The 24415-nt window shown below is 39.6% G+C and overlaps 1 long non-coding RNA gene across 1 annotated transcript in view, besides 1 other annotated feature; it reads right to left on the bottom strand.

Moving 5' to 3' along the window:
• LOC105378806 (uncharacterized) overlaps window positions 1-23136 on the bottom strand; it is a 38030-nt gene extending 14894 nt beyond the window's left edge. Inside the window, exons 1-2 of the long non-coding RNA XR_947521.3 lie at window positions 22983-23136; window positions 14798-14867 (exon numbers count right to left, since the gene is read on the bottom strand). This is a non-coding gene — a long non-coding RNA (uncharacterized LOC105378806). The remainder of the gene's footprint in view (window positions 1-14797; window positions 14868-22982) is intronic.
• Window positions 1894-1953: an enhancer, noted in NCBI's record as "active region_1209". NCBI's record gives its function as "activates an Ori minimal core promoter by ATAC-STARR-seq in GM12878 lymphoblastoid cells {active_cell/tissue: GM12878}" and the evidence as "EXISTENCE:reporter gene assay evidence [ECO:0000049][PMID:35858748]".
• Window positions 23137-24415: the final 1279 nt, after the last annotated feature.

Below are 24415 nucleotides of genomic sequence, written 5' to 3' on the forward strand. Positions count from 1 at the left end.
CAGGTATACCTTCTTGAGATGGGATTTGGACTCTCTGGTTTGTCTCAGTCTCCACCATGTCCTAATCTCTCCCTACCCAATTGCTTCAGTCATTTATGTTATTTGCTGAACCCTATAAGAGTTTGATGTTTGATTTGTACAAGTTTTTGGGGGGGTGCCTCGTGAGACTTCTAATAGGCATGAAGGAAAATGGTCAACATTAGTCTTGGGGACAAAATAGGTATTGTAATCGATTAGTATGACTTTGAGTCATCAGGTTTGAAGTGCGGCCAAGGTCGTGGGAGCCTATAGGTGGTATCCACCAGGAAAGAAGACAGCCAAGCAGCAGCTGCTGATGAGGGATGGCTGTGGAAATAGTGAGGTAGGGGAACCTTCCAATGAAACTCAGCAGCAAAGACCCATAGTCAGAAATAGGTTAATAACAGGCGGCTACTGAAAAATACGGGTCAGAGAGTTCAGAGGATGAGTCAAAAAACGGGTTCCAGGAACCTAGAATAAGAGGAGGGAGTGAAACTGGAAAGATACCCGCTTGCCTATGGGGGCCAACCAAGGGTTCCCCGACTTTGGTCTTTCCTCCTTTGTGTATCAGACTCTGCCTGTGATTTCTAAGGGTACATGGGCTCAGCCTCTTGCACCCTGAGGGACTCATACAGCTGATAAACAGAAAATCACTTTATTGAAAACAAATATATTTGTTTCAGGTAGTATTCTGTTCCATTCCAGTCCAAAATACTAATATACTGACTGTTAATGACCAAAGTAATGTATTATTATTATTTTATTTATTTATTTATTTATTTATTTATTTATTTATTTATTTATTTCTGAGACGGAGTCTTGCTCTTTCACCCAGGCCGGAGTGCAGTGGCGCTATCTCGGCTCACTGCAAGCTCCGCCTCCCGGGTTCACGCCATTCTCCTGCCTCAGCCTCCCGAGTAGCTGGGACTACAGGCGCCCGCCACGACACCCGGCTAATTTTTTGTATTTTTAGTAGAGACGGGGTTTCACTGTGTTAGCCAGGATGGTCTCCATCTCCTGACCTCGTGATCCGCCCTCCTCGGCCTCCCAAAGTGCTGGGATTACAGGCGTGAGCCACCGCGCCTGGCATATTATTTATGTAAACAGTATAGGCACAAGAACAATTAAAATTTAAAATTAGGTAATACATGTTATTGGGTAACCACTGTAGACCAGCTCCAGGTAAGATAATGGATCAAACCAGCCCTCTCCCAATAGATATTACATAGTATTATTGGACTCCCCAGGAAACTTGCTGCTCTTTTTCTCCTTCTGTACAGCTCCATACCTTTCACAAGCGGGAGGAGTTTTAAGTCATGTATTAGGTACATGACTCACATGTCTTGTCTTTTGCATGAGATTTTTGAATACTCCTTGTATAACCATGGTTACACTGATCAAGCTCAGTCCCCTTCTCTGTCTCTTCTTCCCTTCCCTCTTGATCTCTCTCACTTGCCCGTCCTGCTATCTCCTTCTGCCAGCATCCACCTTATCTGCCCCTCTTACTTTTCTTGCATTTCTCTTCTTGTTGTTTTCCTGTTTCTCTGATTGACTGATAACTAGTTTCTGTTTGCTTGCTGGACTTTAGAGTTCATTCACATCCTGTGTGTGTCTCTCTCTGTTTTTGTTTCTTTGACGAGAAAAGCAGACCCTTAAGTCTCCAAGGAATTGGAGCTATAGAGGTTAGAACTCTCACTTCGGCCTGAGGACAGCTTACCCTTTCGTTCACCTTTTGTAGGGGATAGGGATCTCCCTCTTTCCTACGGTTTTGGTGGCCTTTGGCTGGAAGTTTGGAGAATTAGGCTACAGCTATCAAATTAGTTATGTTTTGAGCTGTTTTGGCTCATCATTCTTATGTGTGCACCAGCCCCAATGCCCTGTCAACAGGTGAAGCCATGGAGTCAGTAAGAGACCAGGGTGTAGGTGTCTGAGAATTATTCCAACCAGCTGGGCCAATGAGACACATAGTTTGTATAAGAATAAACAAAAGAGACAAAAATAGCTTGAGAAAGACTAGGCAGAACTGTGAAGTTACTATAGCAAGAATCTATATAGAAAGAGAAAGGAATTTTACTTTGAAGATATTTTGTGGCCATCTGAGCAGAAGCTGCTCACGTATTCCTTCCATTTGTGAACTAGAAGTGACCTTAATGACAGTTGATAGGAACAGCTCCTTATTCACAGGAATTAAATAAAGGGAAGCTGTAAGTGTTCCAAGTGCAAGCGTGTGGCTCAAATAAGCCCAGGTCTTAGCTGCCTGTGTGTTGAATGAGGTTGTATTAATATTAATTCCCAAATCTCAGTGGTTCCACACCATGCTGGATGCTTCCTTCTGCTCCTCTTCCCCTTGGACCTCAGACTCCAGGTTCTTCAGCCTTTGGACTCTGGGACTTGCACCAATGGCTTGCTGGGGGCTCTTGGGCCTTTGGCCATGGACTGAAGGCTGCACTATCAACTTCCCTAGTTTTAAGTCTTTCTGACTTTCACTGAGCCACTACTGGCTTCTCTTCCCCAGCTTGCAGACAGCCTATCGTGGGACTTGACCTTGTGATTGTGTGAGCCAATTCTCCCTAATAAACTCCCTTCCATATATACATATATTTTATTAGTTTTGCCCCTCTGGAGAACCCTGACTAATACAATGAGAATCTCCCTGCCTGGGCAGAACATTGGGCAGGCTTTTTGTATGAGTGGAGCCACTGCTTACTTCCATGGTCAAGCAGGCCTGGTCACTACACTTCTCCAAAATGGGCAGAGGTGAGTATCATTGTGCCTGGGCAGGGTAACTGGGGAGGTCTCTGAGGCTGGGTATGGAGACTAGCTGTCTAGTCACTCAAGCTAGATTAACTTCTTGTTATGCTTCTGAAGGTCACCAGTTCAGCTTTGCAGATAGGCTATGAAGTTGATGGATATCTCTGATTGGGCACCCCAGCTGGTAGGAACACAGGTATTACCAAGATCTGCATGCTAGTCACTATGACCTCTACTTCCTTTCTTTGTTCCTACTTAACCCTGGGTGGTCTAGCCATTATTGCTACCTACAGTGTATCCCATAAGGTGAGACCAGAATGAATTTCCTGGAATACATCTCAGAATGCTAGGAAAGCTGGATGACTGCCTCTAGTCCTCTTTTCTCCCTGTATAAACTGTGGGCCCAAGCCATCTTCTCAGTCTGGTGTTGTGCAGGAGGAGGGAAAGGGGTGTCATGCTCAATTTGAGGCCATTCTTTTTAAACTTTGATTTCAGTTTTCATGCAGTTATGTGAAACATGGAATCTCAGGCTTGTATTCAAGTATTGGGGTTTTCAAAAAAGTATTCTGATCTGTCGGTAGTTGCTAGTTAAACATTGGGTGGGGAAGCAATGGAGCCTAAGACCTATTCTGTTTCTTGCTGGTGTCACTAAGGAGACTTTAAATGACTTGCACTGACTATACCCTCTTCTCAGGATGTACATGAGAAAAGAATGTAATTATTTTCAAAGAATGACAAGAAAATTATATTTCTTATTTCCAATCTTTATTATTTCTTTTCCTACCATCAGCTTAGAAGTCCTTCCTTCATAAGAACAAAACAAACCAAAAAAAGAGCTTAACTTCAATCATGACATTTTTTGCAGCTGCAGCTCCTGTTCCACTTCCTTTCTTGTACTGCTGAACATCCAGATAGAGGCATTGACATGCATGGTTTCCAACTGATCACTTCCTACTCCCTTAAGGACCTCCTGTCAGGCAGGTATGGTGGTAATGAATTCCCTTAGCATTTCTTTTCCTTAAAAGGATTTTATTTCTCCTTCACTTATGAAGTTTAATTTGGCTGGATATGAAATTCTTGGTTGGAATTTATTTTCTTTAAAGATGCTGAATATAGGCCAGGCGTGGTGGCTCATGCCTGTAATCCCAGCACTTTAGGAGGCCGAGGCAGGCAGATCACGAGGTCAGGAGATGGAGACCATCCTAGCTAACACGGTGAAACCCCATCTCTACTAAAAATACAAAAAATTAGCTGGGCATGGTGGCAGGCACCTGTAGTCCCAGCTACTCAGGAGGCTGAGGCAGGAGAATGGCATGAACACAGGAGGCAGAGCTTGCGGTGAGCCGAGATTGCGCAACTGCACTCCAGCCTGGGAGACAGAGTGAGACTCCGTCAAAAAAAAAAAGATGCTGAATATAGGCTTCCAATCTCTTCTGGCTTGTGGAGTTTACTCTGAATAGTCAGCTGTCAGTCTGATGGAGCAGGTGACCTGCTCCTTCTCTTTAGCTGCCCTTAACATTTTTTTCTTTCATTTCCACCTTGGAGAATCTGATGACTTTGTATCTTGTGGATGGCCGTCTTGTTTAGTATGTCACAGGGATTCTCTGAGTTTCTTGGATTTGAATGTCAATCTCTCTAGTGAGGTTGCGGAAATTTTCATGGATAATACTTTCAAATATGCTTTCCAAGTTGCTTGTTCGCTCTTCCTCTCTTTCAAGTGTACCAATTTGTAGATTTGTTCTCTTTAAATAATCCCATATTTCTCAGAGGTTTTGTTCATTCATTATTCCTTTTTCTTTATTTTTGTCTGACTGAGTTGATGTGAAAACTGATCTTTGAGCTCTCAGATTCTTTCTTCAGCTTGGTTTATTCTGCCATTAATACTTCTGATTGTATTATGAAAATCTTATAGTGAGTTTTTCAGCTCTATCAGATCAGTTTGGTACTTTCTTTAAAATGGCTCTTTCATCTTTTAGCTCTTGTAATGTTTTACTGGATTCCTTAGATTTCTTGGATTGGTTTTCACCTTTCTCCTGAATCTCATGATCTTCATTGCCATTCTGTATGGAATTCTATGTCTGTCATTTCAGCCATTTCAACCTGGTTAAGAACCATTCCTGGGGAGCTAGCATGGTTATTTGGAAGTAAGAAGACACTGTGGCTTTTAGAGTCACCAGAGCTCTTTATATTCTCTGATGCTCTTAAGGGTTTGACTGTGGTGTAAGTTGGATTCAGTTGATTGGCTTTATTTCTGGACAATTTCAGGGGGCCAAGACTCAGCTCAGGACTCCAGTGCTGCATGCGCTAACTTTGGGAAGTTGGGACCAGGCCCATGGCTTTGTTCTCTGGCCACTTGAGGTTAAGCACCTGCTCTGCTTGAGGGGCTGAGGTATTCCTGGTCCACTGCCAACAACAGTCCAATGGGCAGGGGTGGGGGGTGCTGGCAAAAGCACTTGATTGGGATGGCAAGGTCTGCTCATGTGCATGCACTGCTAAGGCAACTGGGGGAGGTTACAGATAGGTGCATGCCGGGGTTGCGGGGGGCACTGTCTGCAGGAGCTCTCTGATGGTTTGTGGAGTCTACCAGTGAAGAAGCTATGGTAGTGGCTGCTGTGAAGTGTCCTGGTTGGGCATTGACACTGTGTTGCAAGCAGGTATGGCCAGGCAGGGACCCAGGGAAATGCTGGCAGACAGGGGGATGCTCAGATCAGACTGATCCTATCCCAAGGGCAAGATAACTCTTTTCTGTCCAAGTCCAATAGTCAAAGAAGGCCAGAGCTATCTAGAGGAGTGTGGAAACCTTGGGGATAAGTGTCCCTGGCTGTGTTCCACTGTAGCTATTCCCATGCAAAACCCTCTGGACTTCACACGAGTTGCAGTTATGTCCCTGATAAATCTCCAAGCAGCGCTTCTTGACATCTCAAATGTCCATGGGTGTTGTGGAGTCTCCTGAAGCTAAGATTCTGGAGGTCCATGGCAAGACTGGGCCACTCCATACCTATTTAACTCACCTTTTCCTCTGGAGCCACTTGGGGCTAGAAGCAAGTATTGGTGCTAGGCCAAGCTTCCTTTCTCTCTTTCTTTCTTTTCTTTTTTTTTTTTTTTGAGAAAGAAAACAGTTTTATTTTTAAAATAAATATTAAACCAGAGTGGGATGTATATCACAAGCAATCCACTAAGAGCTTGCAAAGACAGAAAGGAATCTCCTTTTATAAAGCTAAATAGGTACAACCCATTACATTCATATTTTCAAAATAAAATTGCTAACATTCTAGTATCTTTTTGAGTGGAAGTAGATTTTGCAATTTGAAATCAGGTGAGGGCTGACAAATTTCCACATTCCCCCAAGGGACAATACTGTGCCCTCTGAGGTCCATACCTAGATGTGAAATTGGTGGGTTGAAGCATGAGCTCACTTTCAACTTTGTTAGAAATAGCAGCGACTCTCCAAGTGACCCTGCTAACTTACAGAACCACTCACAGTGCATTCACGGTCCAGTTGCTCAATATCTATTATGTGAGCGAGTGTTATTAGTCATTGGGTGTTCTTTTCTAGTATTGTCTGTTAGTATTGTTTGCTTAGTTTCCATTTGAGTTGTTTATCTTTTTCTTTATCAATTTGTTCGAGACTTTTAATGTTATGATATTATGGGAACAACAGTTTTGTAGATATATGTGAGCAAAACATTTGTCTAATTTATCTTTTCATTTTTATGATATGTAATGAACTGAAAGTGCAAATTTTAATACCTTGAGTTTATTAATATTTTTCCTCATGGTTTTTGATTTTCGTGTTTTGTGTGAGAATCACAAAAACCTGTGGTCAATATATTCTAATTTTTAAAAGCTTGGGTTTTTACATTTAGGTTTTTAATCACCTGGGATTTATTTTGTTTGTAGTGTGCAGTAGGAGTATACTTTTATTTTTTCCACATTGAAAAAATTGATTATTTTAGTATGTTTTTTTTCATTTCACCAAGTTGTGATGGAATTAGCATGATTTTTTGAATACTTTATCCTTTACCCAATAACCTTTGATGCTGCATATGTCTTATATTAGGATTCTAGATATGCATGAGTCAGTTTCTGGGATCCCCATTGTTCCATTGGTCTTTTGTCTGTCTCTGGCAAATCTCACACTGTCTTAATACTGTCTTACTACAGATAGAAAATAATACTTATGTTAAATAGGACAAATAGGAAAATAATACTGATGTTAAGTAGGACAAATCCCTCAATCCTTATGATATGTAATGAACTGAAAGTGCAAATTGTAATACTTTGGGTTTATTAATAGTTTTCCTTCTTTAAAATTTTTATATTTGTTATTGGTCTTTTGTTCTCCCATATACATTTAAAAATCATATAGATAGATAGACAGATATATAGATAGATAGATATAGATATAGATATAATTTTTGAGATAGAGTCTTGCTCTGTCACCCAGGCTGGAGTGCAGTGGCGCGATCTCTGCTCACTGCAAACTCCGCCTCCTGGGTTCACGCCATTCTCCTGCCTCAGCCTCCCGAGTAGCTGGGACTACAGGCACCTGCCACCATGCCCGGCTGATTTTTTGTATTTTTAGTAGAGACGGGGTTTCACCGTGTTAGCCAGGATGGTCTTGATCTCCTGATCTCCCACCTCAGCCTCCCAAAGTGCTGGGATTACAGGCTTGAGCCTCCGCGCCTGGCCAAAAATCATAGTATTAAATCCATGAAAACTTTTGGAATCTCAGTTGAAATTACATTGGATTAATGAATGAATTTTAGAAAAATTGACATTTTTATGATATTGAGTCTTTTTATTCACAAACATTGTGTATCTTACCATTTGTTTGAGATATCTATAGTATCTTTTAATATTTACAAATTTTTCTCCATAATGGTCTTCTGCATCTTTGGTTTGAATTTATTTCTGGGTATCTTTTATATATATATATTTGTTACTATTATAACTGGTATCTTTTAAAAATACATTTTTCTGTTGATGTTTAGAAATTCAGTTAAGTTTTATATATTCATCTTCCATTCACCAAATTTTCAGGGGAAATTATTATAAATTATTAATGATTTATCAACTGTAAATAATTTATTAATTTTAAGTAATTTCTCTGTAGACCACATCATCTGATAATAAAGTATCTGATTTTAAAATTTTACTGTCCTTTTATTTCTCTTTGTCTTGCTGTATTGGTTTGAACATCCATTGCAATGTTGAATAGAAATATGATAGAGGGTGTTTTTTTTCTAGTTTCTGATTTTAAAAGAAAGACTTCTAATGTATAATGTATATCAGTGAGTATAAAGTTTGCCATAGATTTTGGTATACATTCTTTATTGTTTTAAGAAATCTTTCTTCTATTCCTAGTTTGCTAAGTTTTTTAAAATGTAACTAATGAATGTTGAATTCTATCAAATGTTTTCTTCTGCATCCATTGAGATGGTCATTTTTAAGAATCATTTTAATTGGTAAAATCATATGAATAGACTTTTTCTATCGTTAAGCCATTCTTGAACTCAGGGAATAAATCTTAATTGATTACAATAGCCTATTTATTTATCTTTTTATACACACGGGTGCATTATTAAATAAGATTTACTTATACAGTAGGTCCCCAAATAATGTTGTTTCATTCACTGTCATTTCTTTATAGCATTGATGAGAAGACAAAAAAGCTCTCTGGCTGGAGCCACTCTCTATGTGGAATTTGCATGTTCTCCCCATGCCTGCACTGATATTCTCCCACATCCCAAAGCTGTGCACAGATTTTGTAGGTGCCCTAAATGAATTGGTGTGTCTGAATGGTTCCAGTCTGAGTGAATGTGGAGGTGTGTGTGAGGGCACCTTGTGATGGAAGATTGTCTTGTCCAGGACTGGTTCCCAGAAGAAGATTCAGCCACCCATGACCCTGAACTGGAATAAGCAGGTTGGAAAATAAATGAATACACAAATATAATTTATTGTCAAATAAAAATTCATAAATGAGACCAAAATCATACAGATAAATGACAATAAGCAATGTGGTATAAAAACACTCAGCAAGCCTGCCCTATTTGCCACAGTTAGTTTTTAAATTGCATGGTAATAGGAGGTGCTCCTTACAATTTTTGCTTTGCAAACATTTATCCTGGACTTAACCCTTCACCATGACAGCTGCTAATACTCACTGATTCGCCAAATTTGGGTAAATAATGATCTTACTTGTTTTTATTACTCTTTCTTAATTGTACATGTAGCTCTCTTTTATTTCATTGTTTAATATTAGAAGTGTTTTGGGTCTTTATTTAGAAGTCTGGTAAGTTTTTGTTACCAGAAATATGCCATGGGAACTTAACTCTTGTTTATACCAATTAGCCTAAGATAATAATGAATGAAATAAGATAATAATGAAAACAATTATTGAAACAATTTATAATCGTTTTCATTATAAAACAAAAAACCAGTCCTGGACAAGACAACCTTCCATCACAAGGTGCCCTCACACACACCTCCACATTCACTCAGACTGGAACCATGATTTAAAGTCGCAGTTTCAAAGAACCTATTGACAACATTTAGTGAGGATTTGCTGTGTTATATTTAGGGTTGTCTCGATCTATCTCTCTTTCTTTTTCTTTTTTCCATATTCCAAATTGAGATTGGCAGTGAAGGCATTTTGTCTTCCACTCTCAGAGCTCTCACCAGATGAATCTCAGATCATTATCTCCAGCCCGACATTTCTCCTGAGCTCCGGTCCACACATTTTTACCTGAGTACTTCATTTTCACATGCTCAAAAAATTGTCTTCCACAAATGGCTGCTCTTTTCTTTGACTTTTTTAAACCTAAAAATTGGTTTTGAGCTCTCTTCTTTGCTATATTTCATATCTAATTAATTTCCATGGTCTGTTAGTTCTGCTATGTGACACATCTTTACTTTCTCTCTCTTCATTTCCATCCTTACTATCATAATCCAAGTCCTCATTACTATTTCCCTAGATTATTACAAGAACTATCTAACTAGTCTTTCTTGCTGCAGATTTGATTCTTAACCCCATTCTCCCATTCTAATCTACAGATTCTGCCAGGTAATCTCTAAAAAGAGTCTCTTTCATTATGTCAGTCTTAAGAGCATGCTGTGGCTCTTAGTTGTTTATGTGATACTTAAGTGCTTCCTGGTTGACATGTCTCTCCAATCATAGTTTCCATCAGTTTCCTTCAGAACCTATCTTCCAGCCACACAAGTGACTGTTCCCCAATATGTCTTAGCATTTTCAACATGTAAACTTCTCCTACATTGCCCTTACAATGTCTCTGACTCAAAATCTTAAGCTATCATAGCTCATAGCTAGTGTTTACTGAGCACGTATAATATTCTGGGTAGTGAGCCAACTGCCTAACGTACATCCTTTTCAGTGATCACCATGCTCCTGTGATGGTAAAGATTGCTGCATTGACTGAGTGCTTACATGGTCCAGGCACTGTTCTAAGTATTATTTCACTAAATTCTCACAACAACTCCATAGACAGGTGCTGTTATTATCCTTAGTTTCAAAGGAGGAAATGAGATATAGAGAGGTGAAGTAACTTTCACAGGACTATACAACCAGGAAGTTGCGGATCCAGGATTTGAATGCAAGTAGTCAGATTCTAGAACCTCCATGCTTTACCATTATGTAGGAGGAAATTGATGCTTGGAGAAGTAGAAAAACTAGTCCATCTGTGCAGGACTTCAGGGGCATTGGTTAATGACCCTATCTCTGATTCTCTTATTTCCTTTTCTAGACATTCACTTCTCCAGATCCTCCCATGTTTACTGTAAAGTCTAATTCCCATACTAAATCCTTTAATCCCCTAATACATGGCTCTGCTTTCCTAACTGAACCCTGACACACTCACAGTACTTTCCAGCTCACACATAACTTTCATAGACATGATCTCATTTATTCCAAAGCTTTCCTGGGATTCAAATTATTATTATTATTATTATTATTTATTTATTTATTTATGAGTCTCCCCGAGCAAACCCTAAGCCTCTCAAGAGTGAAGATGGTAAAAGAAGAGAGAAATGCTCTTCCTGTAGTGCCCTCAAGTCTTAAGTGAGAAAATAGATACAAAATATAGGAGTCACAGTTCATGCATTTGCCAAAGGAAAGTAATTCTGAACTTCCAGATGCTTTTGCATGAAGGTGGAGTTTTGCAAGTCTGGAGGACAGCTCCTGGAGATGAAAATAAATTCTACCACTTTACCGGAGAGTTTTATTTCCTCCATATGTTTGTACATTTTTCTTTCCTTATGTTTGTGATTCATCTGTGGCTCAAGAGATGTGTGGTGCCGGGGGATTGATGGCTGGGAGGGCTGCAGAAATGGTGTAGACAGTTACTGCAGTGATGTGATACAATTCTTGGCATTTGCACAAATATGGAGTGTTCAGACAGCCACAAAGTGGTGGAAGTAGCTCTGAGAACCCTGACTTTTACTGGGAAATCACCTGATTTTAGGTGAGGCCGGGAGATCACAGAAAAGAAGATTGATAGCAAACTTTTATAACAACTTTGGGATAGCCTTAGTTATGAGTAAACACTTTCACTACCAATCACAACATTGTTAGCTTTGATCAGGCCTTTGATGAGGCTTTCTGGTGCTTACTGTTCTCTGTCTTCTGCCTTCATGCTCCCTGGAATTTTACTGTCTCCCTCATAGGCTAGTTGAGATGTGGAAGAAATAATCTATGTAGAGCATTTGGCACATCCCCAGCTCCTCCCATGTTTGCTCGGCTCAGATACCTACTAAAGTGCCTGCTGCATAACAGACAATTTGCAGATTAATTGGAAAACCAGAAAAATACCCAGGATGCCTGACTTCTATTCTGGTACCCCTTTTACATTAACTTTTTTTTTTTTAATCAGTTATGTTACATATGCTTACTCATATATTGTCTTCATATCCCATGTGGCAAAGCAGATACATGTGTTGTAACACCTTATTGGTTAGAGACTGCCTTCCTGGTTCTACTCATTACATTCCAATCGTGGCATATCCTCTAAACTTTCTTTTCCCTTCATAAATCCTCTTTCTTTTTTTTCCCCCTCACAGTTTTCCTGAACAGGTTGACTATTAATTGTGTCTGCTTGATGTGGACACCAGGTGGCGCTGGACATCAGATTTGGAGAGGCAGTTGTCTAGGGAACCGGGCTCTGTGCCAGCGCAGGAGGCAGGCTGGCTCTCCTATTCCAGGGATGCTCATCCAGGAAGGAAAGGTTGCATGCTGGACACACTAACCTTGAAGAATTCTTCTGTCTCTCTCGTCATTTAGAAAGGAAGGAAATTGTTAATTTTTAAAAATAAGTCAAACTCGAATTTTACAAGAAAGTCCATCTCTAAACAAACCTCTACCACACCCAGCTACGAAGTAATCCAAAATTGATAGTTTCTTAATGCTCATGCAAAGCCTTCACTGAGAATGACTTTTCCATTTTCGTGGCAACAGAAAAAGGAAGCAGAACATAAGCTCTAATAAGAAAGGTAGTTACTCAGACAGGGGTAAAGGGACTCCAGGGGGAACTGAATTGAAGCCTGGAATGAGAAATATTACCATACTTCATAAATGCTAAGATGTCATTGATTTTAAGTCTCCCTGCTGCTTTATTTGCAGTAAGGAAGAAAATAGTCCTGCCAACTAAATTGAATTGTTGACTGTAAGGCCTAATCTGATTTCAGAGATATTTAAGTGGGAATAAAACTTTCTGTCTTTGTATTAAATATGGTAACTCTGAGGAGAGTATTCAGTCAGTTGCCTTCTAGTTGTCTTAGCCTCCCGCTCAACCTGTCTCTACCCTGGAGCACCTAAGAGATGGCTTGAAAACAACCGCGTTTACAGGACTTCCAGGAGAATGGTTCTTGTTCTTACTGAGAGTAAATACAGACTGCTTCCTTCCACTTCTCCTTAGAGAGTTAAATGAACCCCTGTAGTCAAAGATGACTCACTGCAGCCACTAGAACAGAGGTTGGCCAACTATGGTCCTTGGGCCAAATCTGCTCCAACACCTGTTTTTATACACTCCAGAAGTTTAGAATGGTTTTCACAGGTGAACATTTGCAATTAATTTGATAATAGGGACCATTAACTATGACTCCAATTAAGAGAAATGTTATGCCTTCTAAAAGTGTTTAATTCTTGTCATTAGTAGACTTGTATTATAAGAAATTATACTCAATTATTATTATTACATTTTGAATTTTGCCAATAATACATTTATGGAAATTTATTTTACCTCTTGTTACATATGTAGTTACATAATGTCATCAACTTTGCCACTTGGGCTGAAAAGCCTAAAATATTTACTGTCTAGCCCTTTACAGAGAAAGTTTACAGACCCCTACTCTAGACCAAAATGGAAATTATGGGTTAGTCTGTTTCAATCATCAATAAGAGTGCCAAGATACCTGAACAGAAGTCGGGCTGAATAAATCAGCTTGCTGCAAATGGCCAGACCCAATCAATAGATGTGTAATAGGAATGTGGCTACTAAGTAATGAGATTTTTAAAAACACTAGACTTCCACATATAAAATTAAAATTATAAAATTAGTGCTATTCTACCCAAAGTAGACACCTAGAGAAATTCTATGGTTATTTTAAAACTCTCAGAATGGTCTTTAAAAGTAGTTTATGAACCATGCAATGAAAATCTATTATTCATTTCTATTAGCATTTCTTGAGTATGTGCTAGGTAAAGTGAAAGACATGGATGGGGTAAAAGATGAATTACATATCGTAGCTTGAATTTTATAATCATATTTTGTTTTGACCTCAAATAATGTTTACCTGATTTCAATCACTAGATTTAACTTTAAATGACTTTGAAAAAACTTATAAAATATGCCCTCAATGTTTGAAGATGCAATTCCAACTAAAGATATTGGGCCAGACATAGTGGCTCATTCCTGTAATTTCAGTACTTTGGAAGGCTGAGGCAGGAGGATTGCTTTAGCTCAGGAGTTCAAGGTTGCAGTAAGCTATGATCACACCACTGCACTCCAGCCTGGGTGATGGAATGAGATCCTGTATTTAAACAATAAAAATAAAATATATTGATATGCTGCAATCACAAGAGAGAATTGTAATAGAATTTTAAAAGTGTCCAGAGCAGTGGCACAATTGCACAGCCTCCTAATGTGATTGGGAAGAAATACTCTCTGGAAACTCTCTAGCATGCACAAGACTTAATGTTTTTGATAAAAAGTTCATTCTGATATTTTATGATCACACTTCATATATTCACATACCACACCAGGCTATGACTTGGCAAGGAAACAATTCCTTGTTTTAGTTGGAGGAAGGGCTGTATATAAGGGAGTGGGAAAGTTGAAGCAAAACTTTAACTTTTCATAGGGGAATTCCTAGGTGCTCTCCACTTGAAAAATCATACTGCCTCAGAATTAATGGTCATGATAATTTTGAATCCCCTCTTCTTGAATCTTGGATTTACAGCTGATTTCCTTACTGAAATCTGTGTCTGATACTGCTTTCCAAGGATGCTGGACAAGTTAATTCTGTCTAATTCAGACTGCATTTCTGAAAACAGGGAGAGAGATTGAGAATGGAGAGAGGGAGTGAAGAACAGAGACACATACACAGAGAGAGCAAGAGACACAGAGACAGAGGAATTGAGAGATATTGAGAGAGATAAAACAATGTAAGACAGTCAGTGTGGTCTGCATCTGCTTAAGAGTTAGGAATTGGATTTAAAGTTGAACAAAGAAAAATGGGAGGGCCACTCAACCCTCCTATTTGTCTTATTTATGTAACAATGTAATCCTTGATATCTCTATTAATGTAACTTGACCTGACACACTCACTAGACTGATTTTATTTCTTTCAGTAATTTTCTGTTATTGGTTACTTTCAAAACTATGTCTCTGATTGGAACAAAAAGAATTGTACATCAGGGACCTCTGTAAATTCACTTTTATTTATTATCAGTTAGGATCTTATAGTCAGTGAATTTGGCTTATCGTGGCTTTAGCACAGATGGTAATGTACTTACTGGTCTCTGAAATTTCTGTTTTGGGGACATGGAGGCAGGGATCTCTAGAAGATTTCCCCCAGAGCCACATCTACAAGAAATATTGGTATAGTTATATCAAAATGTACAACTTCCTTTAAGCAACTTTTAAATTACATTTTATTAGTTATGTCCTTAAGGCTGTTTGTGCCAATCTTTCCTTTTCTTAAAAAAATCAGTTCATATTAAGTACATTCTTTTACTGTGAAGCTTATGTTAACAGATGAAAAAAGGTTTGAGGAAAGGAGAAGAGTTAGGATGTGGCATCTTTGAACTAAAGAGCGTTCCAGAAGGAGAGATGCAGTGCCAGCCAGTCTTCTAATGTTTTGGGGAACCATGATGAGATGGATTATTTTCAAGGCTGTCAAGTCTCAAGGCTTCCTTGGATTTTCAGTATGGTAGCGTAATCAAGATGGGGATATAACCTTGCTCAACCCTTGCTGTCTCTTCCACCAAAATGGCAAAAGATCACCTTCAGCTTGCTTATAAAAGACCCATGTTGAAATAACATTTGTAGTAAAGTCATGAACTCTTCTATACATTGGTCTTTCTTTTGTCTGAAGTGCATTCATGTGAATGTACAAAATCTCACCAGAAGCAGAATTCATGTCATATAGCCCCCTAAAAGAATTTTCTCCTGGGAGGGAATGCTGAGTGTTTTGTTTTGTTGTGTTTTTGACTTGTATTAAAAATATTCTGTGCATAGAGCTGTCTGGAACTGATTATTCACTGAAGACTGCTCTTTGTATGTTTTTAATGTTCATCCAGCAGATTCAGCTCTGGCTCAACAGATAAAGGATTTCATATATTTGTGCATTCAAAATATTTTAATTATTAGAAAATGAAGAGAGTTGAAATGTCTTTTTAAAATTCAGATGCCTGTCTGTTGTTTTTAAAGTCTTCGATACTTTGCTTTTTAACTTCTGCATAGGGTCTGCATGATGTGCCCTGTATCCACATGGTGCATATGATAGCAGCCCCTGTGAATGGATAGCAGTGAGCATAAATATAACTGGGATTACCCCTTGAAGCATTCCTCTGTAATAATGTAAAGAAATATGATTCTAATGGATCTGACACTTCTTAGATAAGGTATTTATACTTAAATCTGCACACACAAGCTTCAGGTGACACCTGCAAATGTTAACAGCTGTAAGAGAGATAGGGCTGGAAATAGAGTGGTGGTCATGATTGCCAACTTAGAACGTAAGATTACAATTTATTCTTTTGTAAACTTTCCAGAACCTATCCTATTTAAACCTTTTCCCTAGTATCACTGGGTACAAGAAAGAGCTTCATAGTGCTTTGGGTTTCTTCCTCACTCATATTCTATGGACTACAGAACAGCTTTCAATTCAATACTCAAAAACTATTGTTTTTGTGTGTGTGTGTGTGTGTGTGTGTGTGTGTGTGTGTGTGTGTGATCTATCGACTACATAGAATCTGCAGACACTGTTCTAACTACTTTTGATGTATTAATTTTTAATCCCAACCACCCAATGAGGTGTATTATATATTTTATTTTTTTTCCAAAGAGATAGCTACTAAACACCTAGCTCTACACTAGCTAGTAATCATACTAATAGGTAATCATACTACCTATTGATTTATTTCCTCCAGGTTTCCTATTTTACCTTTAAACAAAAGTAATCTGGCAAGGAATCTTTGGTTTCACTAAGGGCTAGGAGGGGAGACTGGGCAGTGGTTATCCTGGCGTCTCTGAAGTGTCATCCTCTTCCCAGTCTTATTAGTCATGCATACTGGCATGGTGGAGAGTTCCTGGAAGACTTTCACAGAGTCATGGGCCATAGCTAACATGCTTCAAGTCAAGCATAGCATTTTCTTGATTTCTCAAGCATTTTTTGTCACACTGCCTATTATAGGGATAACACTAGATGAGGGAGATTATATTGTCTTATGAAATATGTTTTATAATATGTTTGTAATATGTTTTATTATTATTTGGATTAAAAAACAGTGGAAGTGCAAAGTGTTAGAATTTTTGGTGACATATGAACTATACATTTTATTGGGCTAGGATCAGAAGGCTGAAAGTAGTCTTAATGTAGGCCTCATCTCCATTCATGTTTATAAGGCAAAGTAATCTTATTCTTTGAGGTTCATTTGCAGATTTGAAAATCATATAGATTGGTCTTAGAAATCAATTTGCAGTGTTATTGTTTGAATATGGCATATATTGGGTTTTTCAAAGGAAATATGAAATCTTCTTAAACTCATATCAACACCCTCAGTCTGCCAGATGAGACAAACTTGGTGAAAATCAAACAACTGCTAATTTAGCAAATTGGAAAGGTAAGAGTGGAGATGGATAATCTATACTCAGAAGAACCTTTTCTCGGCAGATTTATATTTAAATAAGCCAATCAAATCGGTTGCCTTAAAGGCCACAGTCATAAGCATAATTAACCTCTCTGTGGTTGTTGGAAATTGAGAATGTTTAGTGTTCTGAAGAAATAACTGTCTTTTTCTTTTATAAGATAGTGAATTACATTATCTTTAAAGGAAAATTCTCAAAGTAAGCCTTTTGGTGATTATAAAAACCCTGTGGTTATTAATTCAGCTGAATACTTTTGAAGTCACTCTCCCTTTACATTTTGGACTTTTAGTTTTAATTCTTCCCTCCAAAATTTGCTTCTTCTCCTCTTGCCATTACCTTTGGGAAGGCAAATATTTGTCTCTTTCCAATATTAATGAGATCTTGCTTTCTCAATAACAAAGTAACTGCTGATGGATAAAACAATGAAAATATGCAATTTTTTTCCCTCAAGGTATTTAATTCACTTGCCTTTTCATCTTTGAGATTGTCAGTTCTGATAAAATTTTAGTGTAAATCAGCAAAACATTTGGCTTATTAAAAAGGGCCAAACTACAGAGAATGCTGGTCTACAGAACTTCAGAGAATCCCTGAGAGAATTCTAAGGTAGTATTTTTGGCTACAATTTATAGGATGAATGCTCTTGGAAATAGCTGTCAGGATGTTGATCTTTGGAGCTTTAATACCTTAATTTTCTTGTCATCTTATTTCCAACTTTCTTCTGCATTATTTTACCTGGACAAAATTCACCCTTCAGTCAAGACACATTTAGGATAATAGTTGTCAGGGAATCAACTTGTTTCCAGGAGGTTTTTAAAGCATTTTGATTTCTTCAACTATTCTAAATTGATATAAAATGGAGAGTTTTTCTCTCTAGCATGCAATTTATTAAAATACTATAAATTTGTCATTAAAAATGAGGAAGCCTTACCCTCTGTGGTTTTTCTTTTTTTTAATTGTATCTGACCATTGCTGAAAAGCCCATTGTATTGTATGTATTTGTTCATTTCACTATCACTCTAATAGATTGTGAGCTACTCAAGGACAAGGGTTGTGTCTTAATCACCTTTGTATTCCCAGAGCTAGTGCAGGGCTTGGCACCCAGTGGATACTAAACACATGGAAACAAATGACTGCAAGTTAAGACAAGGTCCTGGGTCATGCTTCTAATTCCCAACAAGACTGAACCAAAGGCATCCAAGAGGCGTAGTTGTAGCATATCTTATATTTTAAGAGTCTTTGAAGAAGTATGGTCAGCAAAATTGTATGCAACATGTACCATATTTACACAGTACATTTCCCAAAGTACTTACATTATCACATCTATTCTAATAATTAAGTGATATGGTATTGATCCTGGTTGGGTATTGCACATAGTAGACACTCAATAAATACCTGCTGAATGAGTGAAGGACTAAAACATTTAGCAAATAAGGGGTTTAAAACACAAATCAACTGTCACTGACTTAAGCAAGTTAACATAAGAATTTGAACTAAACTCTTAAGTTTCCTGAATTGGTAAATATATCATGTTGTCTCTTATTTCATCTCTGGCTTTACATAATAAAGTGAATACTTCCAGATACTTGTGTTTTAAAGCTTAGAACAGCTTAATTTGGGGGAAGGCCAATATGACGTAGTGTAAAATGAGAAGTATACAATATTTTTAAAAAATGAACTTTCACATCCTTCACTTGGTGATATGGTTTGGATGTCTGCCCCCTCCACATCTCATGTTGAAGAGTCATCCTCAGTGTTGGAGGTGAGGCCTGGTGTGAGGTGTTTTTGTCATGGGGGTGGATCCCTCATGAGGCACCCTTCCTGCAGTAATGAACTCTCACTGTTAGGTCATGTGAGAGCTAGTGGTTTGAAAGAGCCTGGCAGCTCTTTTGCTACCTCTCTTGCCATGTGGTATGCTGGCTCCCTCCTCACCTTCTGCCATGATTGTAAGCTTCCTGAGGTCCTCACCAGAAGCTGAGCAGATATTGGCACCATGTTTCTCATATAGCCCGCAGAACCAGGAGCCAAAATAAACCTCTTTTCCTTACAAATTACTCACCCTCACATATTATTTTATAGCAATGCAAAATGGACTAACACACTTGGTTTCCAGGATATGACATTCTGTTGGTTTTTCTCCTACCTGAGTAGCTGAGCCTTCTCAGCCTCTTAAATACCATCTATATGCTGATGACTCCTACATTCATATCTCCAGCACAGTCCTCCCTCCGAGACTACAGACTTGAACAATAAATTGTATACTTGACACCTCTACTTCAATGACTCACAGACCTCTTAAATTCACCGCATTCAAAACAGAGCTCCTGACTACCCTCCCACAACTTGTGCCACCTACAGCCTTCCCTATTTCAAAGGATCTTCATTGTTTCAGTTACTCAGCCCAAACACTTGGAGACATCCTTGACTCCTCTCTGTATCTCAAACTTAGAGAGTCTATATAATTTACTTTGAAAACAAGGTACTTTCAGAATGAAAGGAACTGCTATAACCAATTATGACCAGACAGCAACTTAAACTGGGATTGTTCAGGGCAAAATAGATTCATGTCACCCTACTCCTAACCACATCCAAGCCATCAAGAAATGTTAGCTGAACCTTTAGAAATGATCCAAAATCCACCAACTTTTCACCACTGCCAACTATTATAATCTTGCCTCATGTCACTGTTATTGTCTCTCCTGGATTCTCCAATAACTTCCTAACTGGCCTTCCTATTTCTGCCATTCTCTCATCCCGTCCAAACTCCATCCCAGGTTGGTCCTGTGTGCCTACACCTCTGTGGTAGGGCTTTTTCAATGTTTCTTCTTCCTCTCTTCTTTGCAACTATTTTAGAGTATTTTGTGTAGGTATAACAATACCATGAACTGAGTAATTTATAAAGAAAAGAATTTTATTTCCTATAGTTCTGAAGGTGAGGGGCCTATATTTGGTGAGGGCCTCCTTCCTATGTCATCCCACAGCAGAAGGCAAATGGGCAAAAGAACATGTACATAAGAGAGAAGGAAGGGGACAAACTCATCATTTATAAGGAACCCACTCCTGAAATAACTGATCTACTCCTGCCATAATGGCAATATTCCATTCATAAGGACAGAGGCTTCATGACATAATCACTTCTTAAAAGTTTCACTTCTTGCTGGGCGCAGTGGCTCATGCCTGTAATCCCAGCACTTTGGGAGGGCTGAGGCGGGTGGATCACGAGGTCAGGAGATCGAGACCATCCTGGCTAACGCGGTGAAACCCCATCTCCACTAAAAATACAAAAAATTAGCTGGGTGTTGTGGCGGGCGCCTGTAGTCCCAGCTACTCAGGAGGCTGAGGCAGGAGAATGGCATGAACCCGGGAGGTGGAGCTTGCAGTGAGCCAAGATCGTGCCACTGCAATCCAGCCTGGGAGACAGCGAGACTCTGTCTCAAAAAATAAAATAAAATAAAATTAAAAAATAAAAAATAAAACAAAAAAAAAGTTCCACTTCTCAATACTGTTGTATTGGGGATTATGTTTCCAACACATGAGCTTTGACACACACATTCAAACCATAGCATTTCACTTCTGGTCCTTCCCCAGATTTATGTTCTTCTTAGGTGCAAAATGCATTAAGTCCATCCCAATAGTCCCTAAAGTCTTAACTTGTTCTAGCATCACCTCAAAAGTCCAAAGTACAGAGTCTCATAGGAATCAGGTATGGGTGAGACTCAAAGAACAATTCATCCTGAGGCAAATTATTCTCCATCTGTGAGCCCGTGAAATTAAACAATTATATACTTCCAAAATACAATGGTGGGAAAGGCATAGGCTAGACATTCCCTTTCCAAAAGGGAGTAACAGAAAAGAAGAAATGAGAAACATGTCCCAAGTAATTCCAAAAGCCAACAGGGCTAACAACACTACATTTTAAGACTCCAGAATAATCTTTGACTCCCTGGGCCAACTTCTGGACACACTGGGGTGGGGGTTAGGCATCCACGGCCTCAGGCAGCCCTGCTCCCACAACTTTGCTGGGCTCAGCCCACTCAGAACTCTCACAGGTTGGAGTCTTATGCCTGCAGCTCTTCTAGGCTGGCTTTACACACTGGTAGCTCTACAGTTCTGGGGTCTCAGGAGTGGCTCCATTCGGCCTAGTGGGGACTCTTGGCAGTGGCCCTCCTCCCATAGCTTCACTAGGCATTGCTTTAGTGGGGACTGTCTGTGGTGATTCCACCCCTGTAACGAGCCTTTGTTATAAGCCTTCAGGCTGTCCACTACATCCTTTGAAATCCAGAGAAAGCCATGCACCAACAATTCTTGCATTCTGCATATCTGTAGAATTAGCACATGGATGTCACCAAGGCTCCCTGCTTGTGCACTCCAGAATGGAGGGTTGAGATGCACTGGGCCTGCTTGAGCCATGTTGGAGAGGCAGAGAAGTGCTACACTAGAATGTGGAGAGCAGAGACTGAGGGATCCCTGGGCAGTGAGCCCTAAGATACAGAGGGTACCTGATATGGTTTGGCTGTGTCCTCACCCAAATCTCATCTTGAATTCCCAGGTGTGTGGGAGGGACCCAGTGGGAGATGATTGAATCATGGGGTCAGGTCTTTCCTGTGCTGTTCTCATGATCGTGAATAAATCTCACAAGATCTGATGATTATATAAGGGGGAGTTTCCCCGCACAAGCTCTCTTTGCCTACTGCCATCCATTTAAGATGTGACTTGCTCCTCCTTGCCTTCCATCATGATGGTGAGGCTTCCCCAGCCACATGGGAACTGTAAGTCCAATTAAACCTCTTTCCTTTGTAAATTGCCCAGTCTTGGGTATGTCTCTTTCAGCAGCCTGAAAACAGACTAATATAGTACCCTAGGCCTCTCTTTTGACCTATTTTGTTCTCTTAGGGCCTAGGCCTTTGCACTCTGAGCCATGGGCACTGGTAATTTTCAAACTGCCTTCCAGGTTATTCTTCCACTGTTCTGATGAATAGCCCCAGGCTTCATTCTCCCCATAATAATCTCTTTATCAAATCGTTGCTTGGCTGCATCTTTGATTTCCTCTTCTGAAAATGTCCTTAATTTCTTACCACACAGCCAGGCTGAGAAGCCTTCAAATCCCTAATCCTGTTTCTCTTTTAATTATAAATTTTGTCTTTAAATCATTTCTCTCTTCTATTTTACTATATGCAGTTAAAAGAAGCCACACAACTCCTTTAATATTTTGCTTAGAAATTTCTTCCACTGTGTAACCTAGTTTATTGCTCTTAAAGTCCCTCTTCCATAAAGGCCTAGGACATGGAAACAATTCTGCTAAGTTCTTTGCAACTGTGTAATAAGGATGGCCTTTGCTCCAGTTTGTATTACCTTTTTCCTCAGTTCCATCTGAGACCTCATCAGAATGATCTTTGCTGTCTATAGTCTATATTTTTATCAACATTCTGTCAAGACCACTTAAGTAATATCTCAGAAGATGCAGGGTCTTGCTTCAACTCTTGTTTTCTGAGCCCTCACCAGAAGTTCCCTTAACACTTCATTCACACTTCATTCACAGCAATCTAGACATTCTCTAGCCTGCTCCTCCAAATTCTTCTAGCCTTGGCCTATTACCCAATTTCAGAGCCACTTCCACATTTGCAGGTATCTGCTATAACAACAGCCTCACTCTCAGTACCAATTTTCTATCTTAAAATAGTCTCACATCTGCCAGGCATGGTGGGCCACACTTGTAATGCTAGTACTTTGGGAGACTGAGGTGAGAAGACCATTTGAGGCTGAGATTTCAAGACCAGCCAGGGCAACATTGTGAGACCCTATCTCTACAAAAAAATTTAAAAATGTTCTCACCTCTGGCAAGGAACTTCTTGATGCATTATTCCATGGCAGACGGTGGAAGGGAAAGAGAGCACACATTGGGGCAGAGAGGAGAAACTCACCCTTTATTAGGTACACCAGTCCTGCAACAATTAACCCACTCCTACAATAATGGCATTAATTCACTCATGAGGGAGAGGCCTTGTGACCTAATCATCTCTTAAAGTCCCCACCTTTCAACACTATTGCATTGAGAGTTAAGTTTCTAAAACGTGAACTCTTTGGGGGACACACTTAAACCATAGCAGCGGCCAAGCTGTCTTGTGTTTCTGGTGCATCTTGTGTGGAAGAAAATCCCTGCCCCTCCCCCAGTGGTAGGAGACCTCAGTGGTGTAGTTCTTCTATGTCTTCCCCACAGGTGAAGGGTTTTGTTTTTTTGGTTTTTTTTAACCATTTTTTTAGGGGTGGGGGCAATGAATCTTTACATGTGCCTTGTTTGGGGGGTGGTGACAATAGGATTCACTGCTCTCCCCAGTGGTTTAAGACTTTTGCTCCATATGGGAGAAGGGACCTGGGAAGGAATTATACCCTCAGAGGGGGCTAATCCCACTCTGCACATCTGCACTACCAGGGTGGGTCCTCTCCAGGCTCCCATCTGTCCCTACTCTTCCTGTGGTGGTTTGGGGCCAAGAGCCTGCTGGAGTGCAAACTCCTCTGTGTCTAGGGCTCCCAGGGCTCTTTCCTGTCACAGTAGCCCACGCTTGGCCTTTAGCAGTGTATTAACATTTTATTTGATTTCGTCTTGCCTGGGTGCACAGTGGCTGGTGCCTCCTTTGCCTGCACTCTGCTATAGGTGTACCAGTCTGTGCATCCCACTCTTCTTGATGGGGCTTCTTTCTTCTTGGGATTTGGGTAACTTTGTAGTCTTGCCACTTCAGCTGTCTCTGTTAGGGTGAAAAAAATGCTTTTTCCATCTTTTTTACACTCAGGCAGAAGCAGAACTTGGCTCTTATTTTAATGATGTACCTTTGACCCAAATTTTCTGAAACCTCTTTTTGAGAATTCTCTTCTACATTGAATATCCCTGGTTTGTAGCACATTTTTACTCTTTAAAAGTGAATTTGCTCTTTTAGGATAGCTTGAAGTAATTTCGAAATAAGTTTGATCAATAAATGTGTAAACCTGCTGAATACTGTCGCTTTTAATAACCATAGACTTACACAAGATGAGGCTATATAGTAATAATGAGAAAGGACTGTAAGAAAGTGTGACTTAGCCCATCCAGGTTTATTTCATCTTGGAATTGCTTTGATCTGATATTGAGACAGCTGCACTGGTCATTTTGAGGAACCATAGAGGCAGGAAAAAAGGAAAGAAAAGGTGCTGGGTAAGCACTTTAGAGGGGGAAGCTCCACCCACCATCATCTACATCAACACTGCCAAACAGTCACTAAATAATTATAACA

This window comes from Homo sapiens, chromosome 1 (genome assembly GCF_000001405.40).
Source record: "Homo sapiens chromosome 1, GRCh38.p14 Primary Assembly".
Classification (NCBI taxonomy): Eukaryota; Metazoa; Chordata; class Mammalia; order Primates; family Hominidae; genus Homo; species Homo sapiens.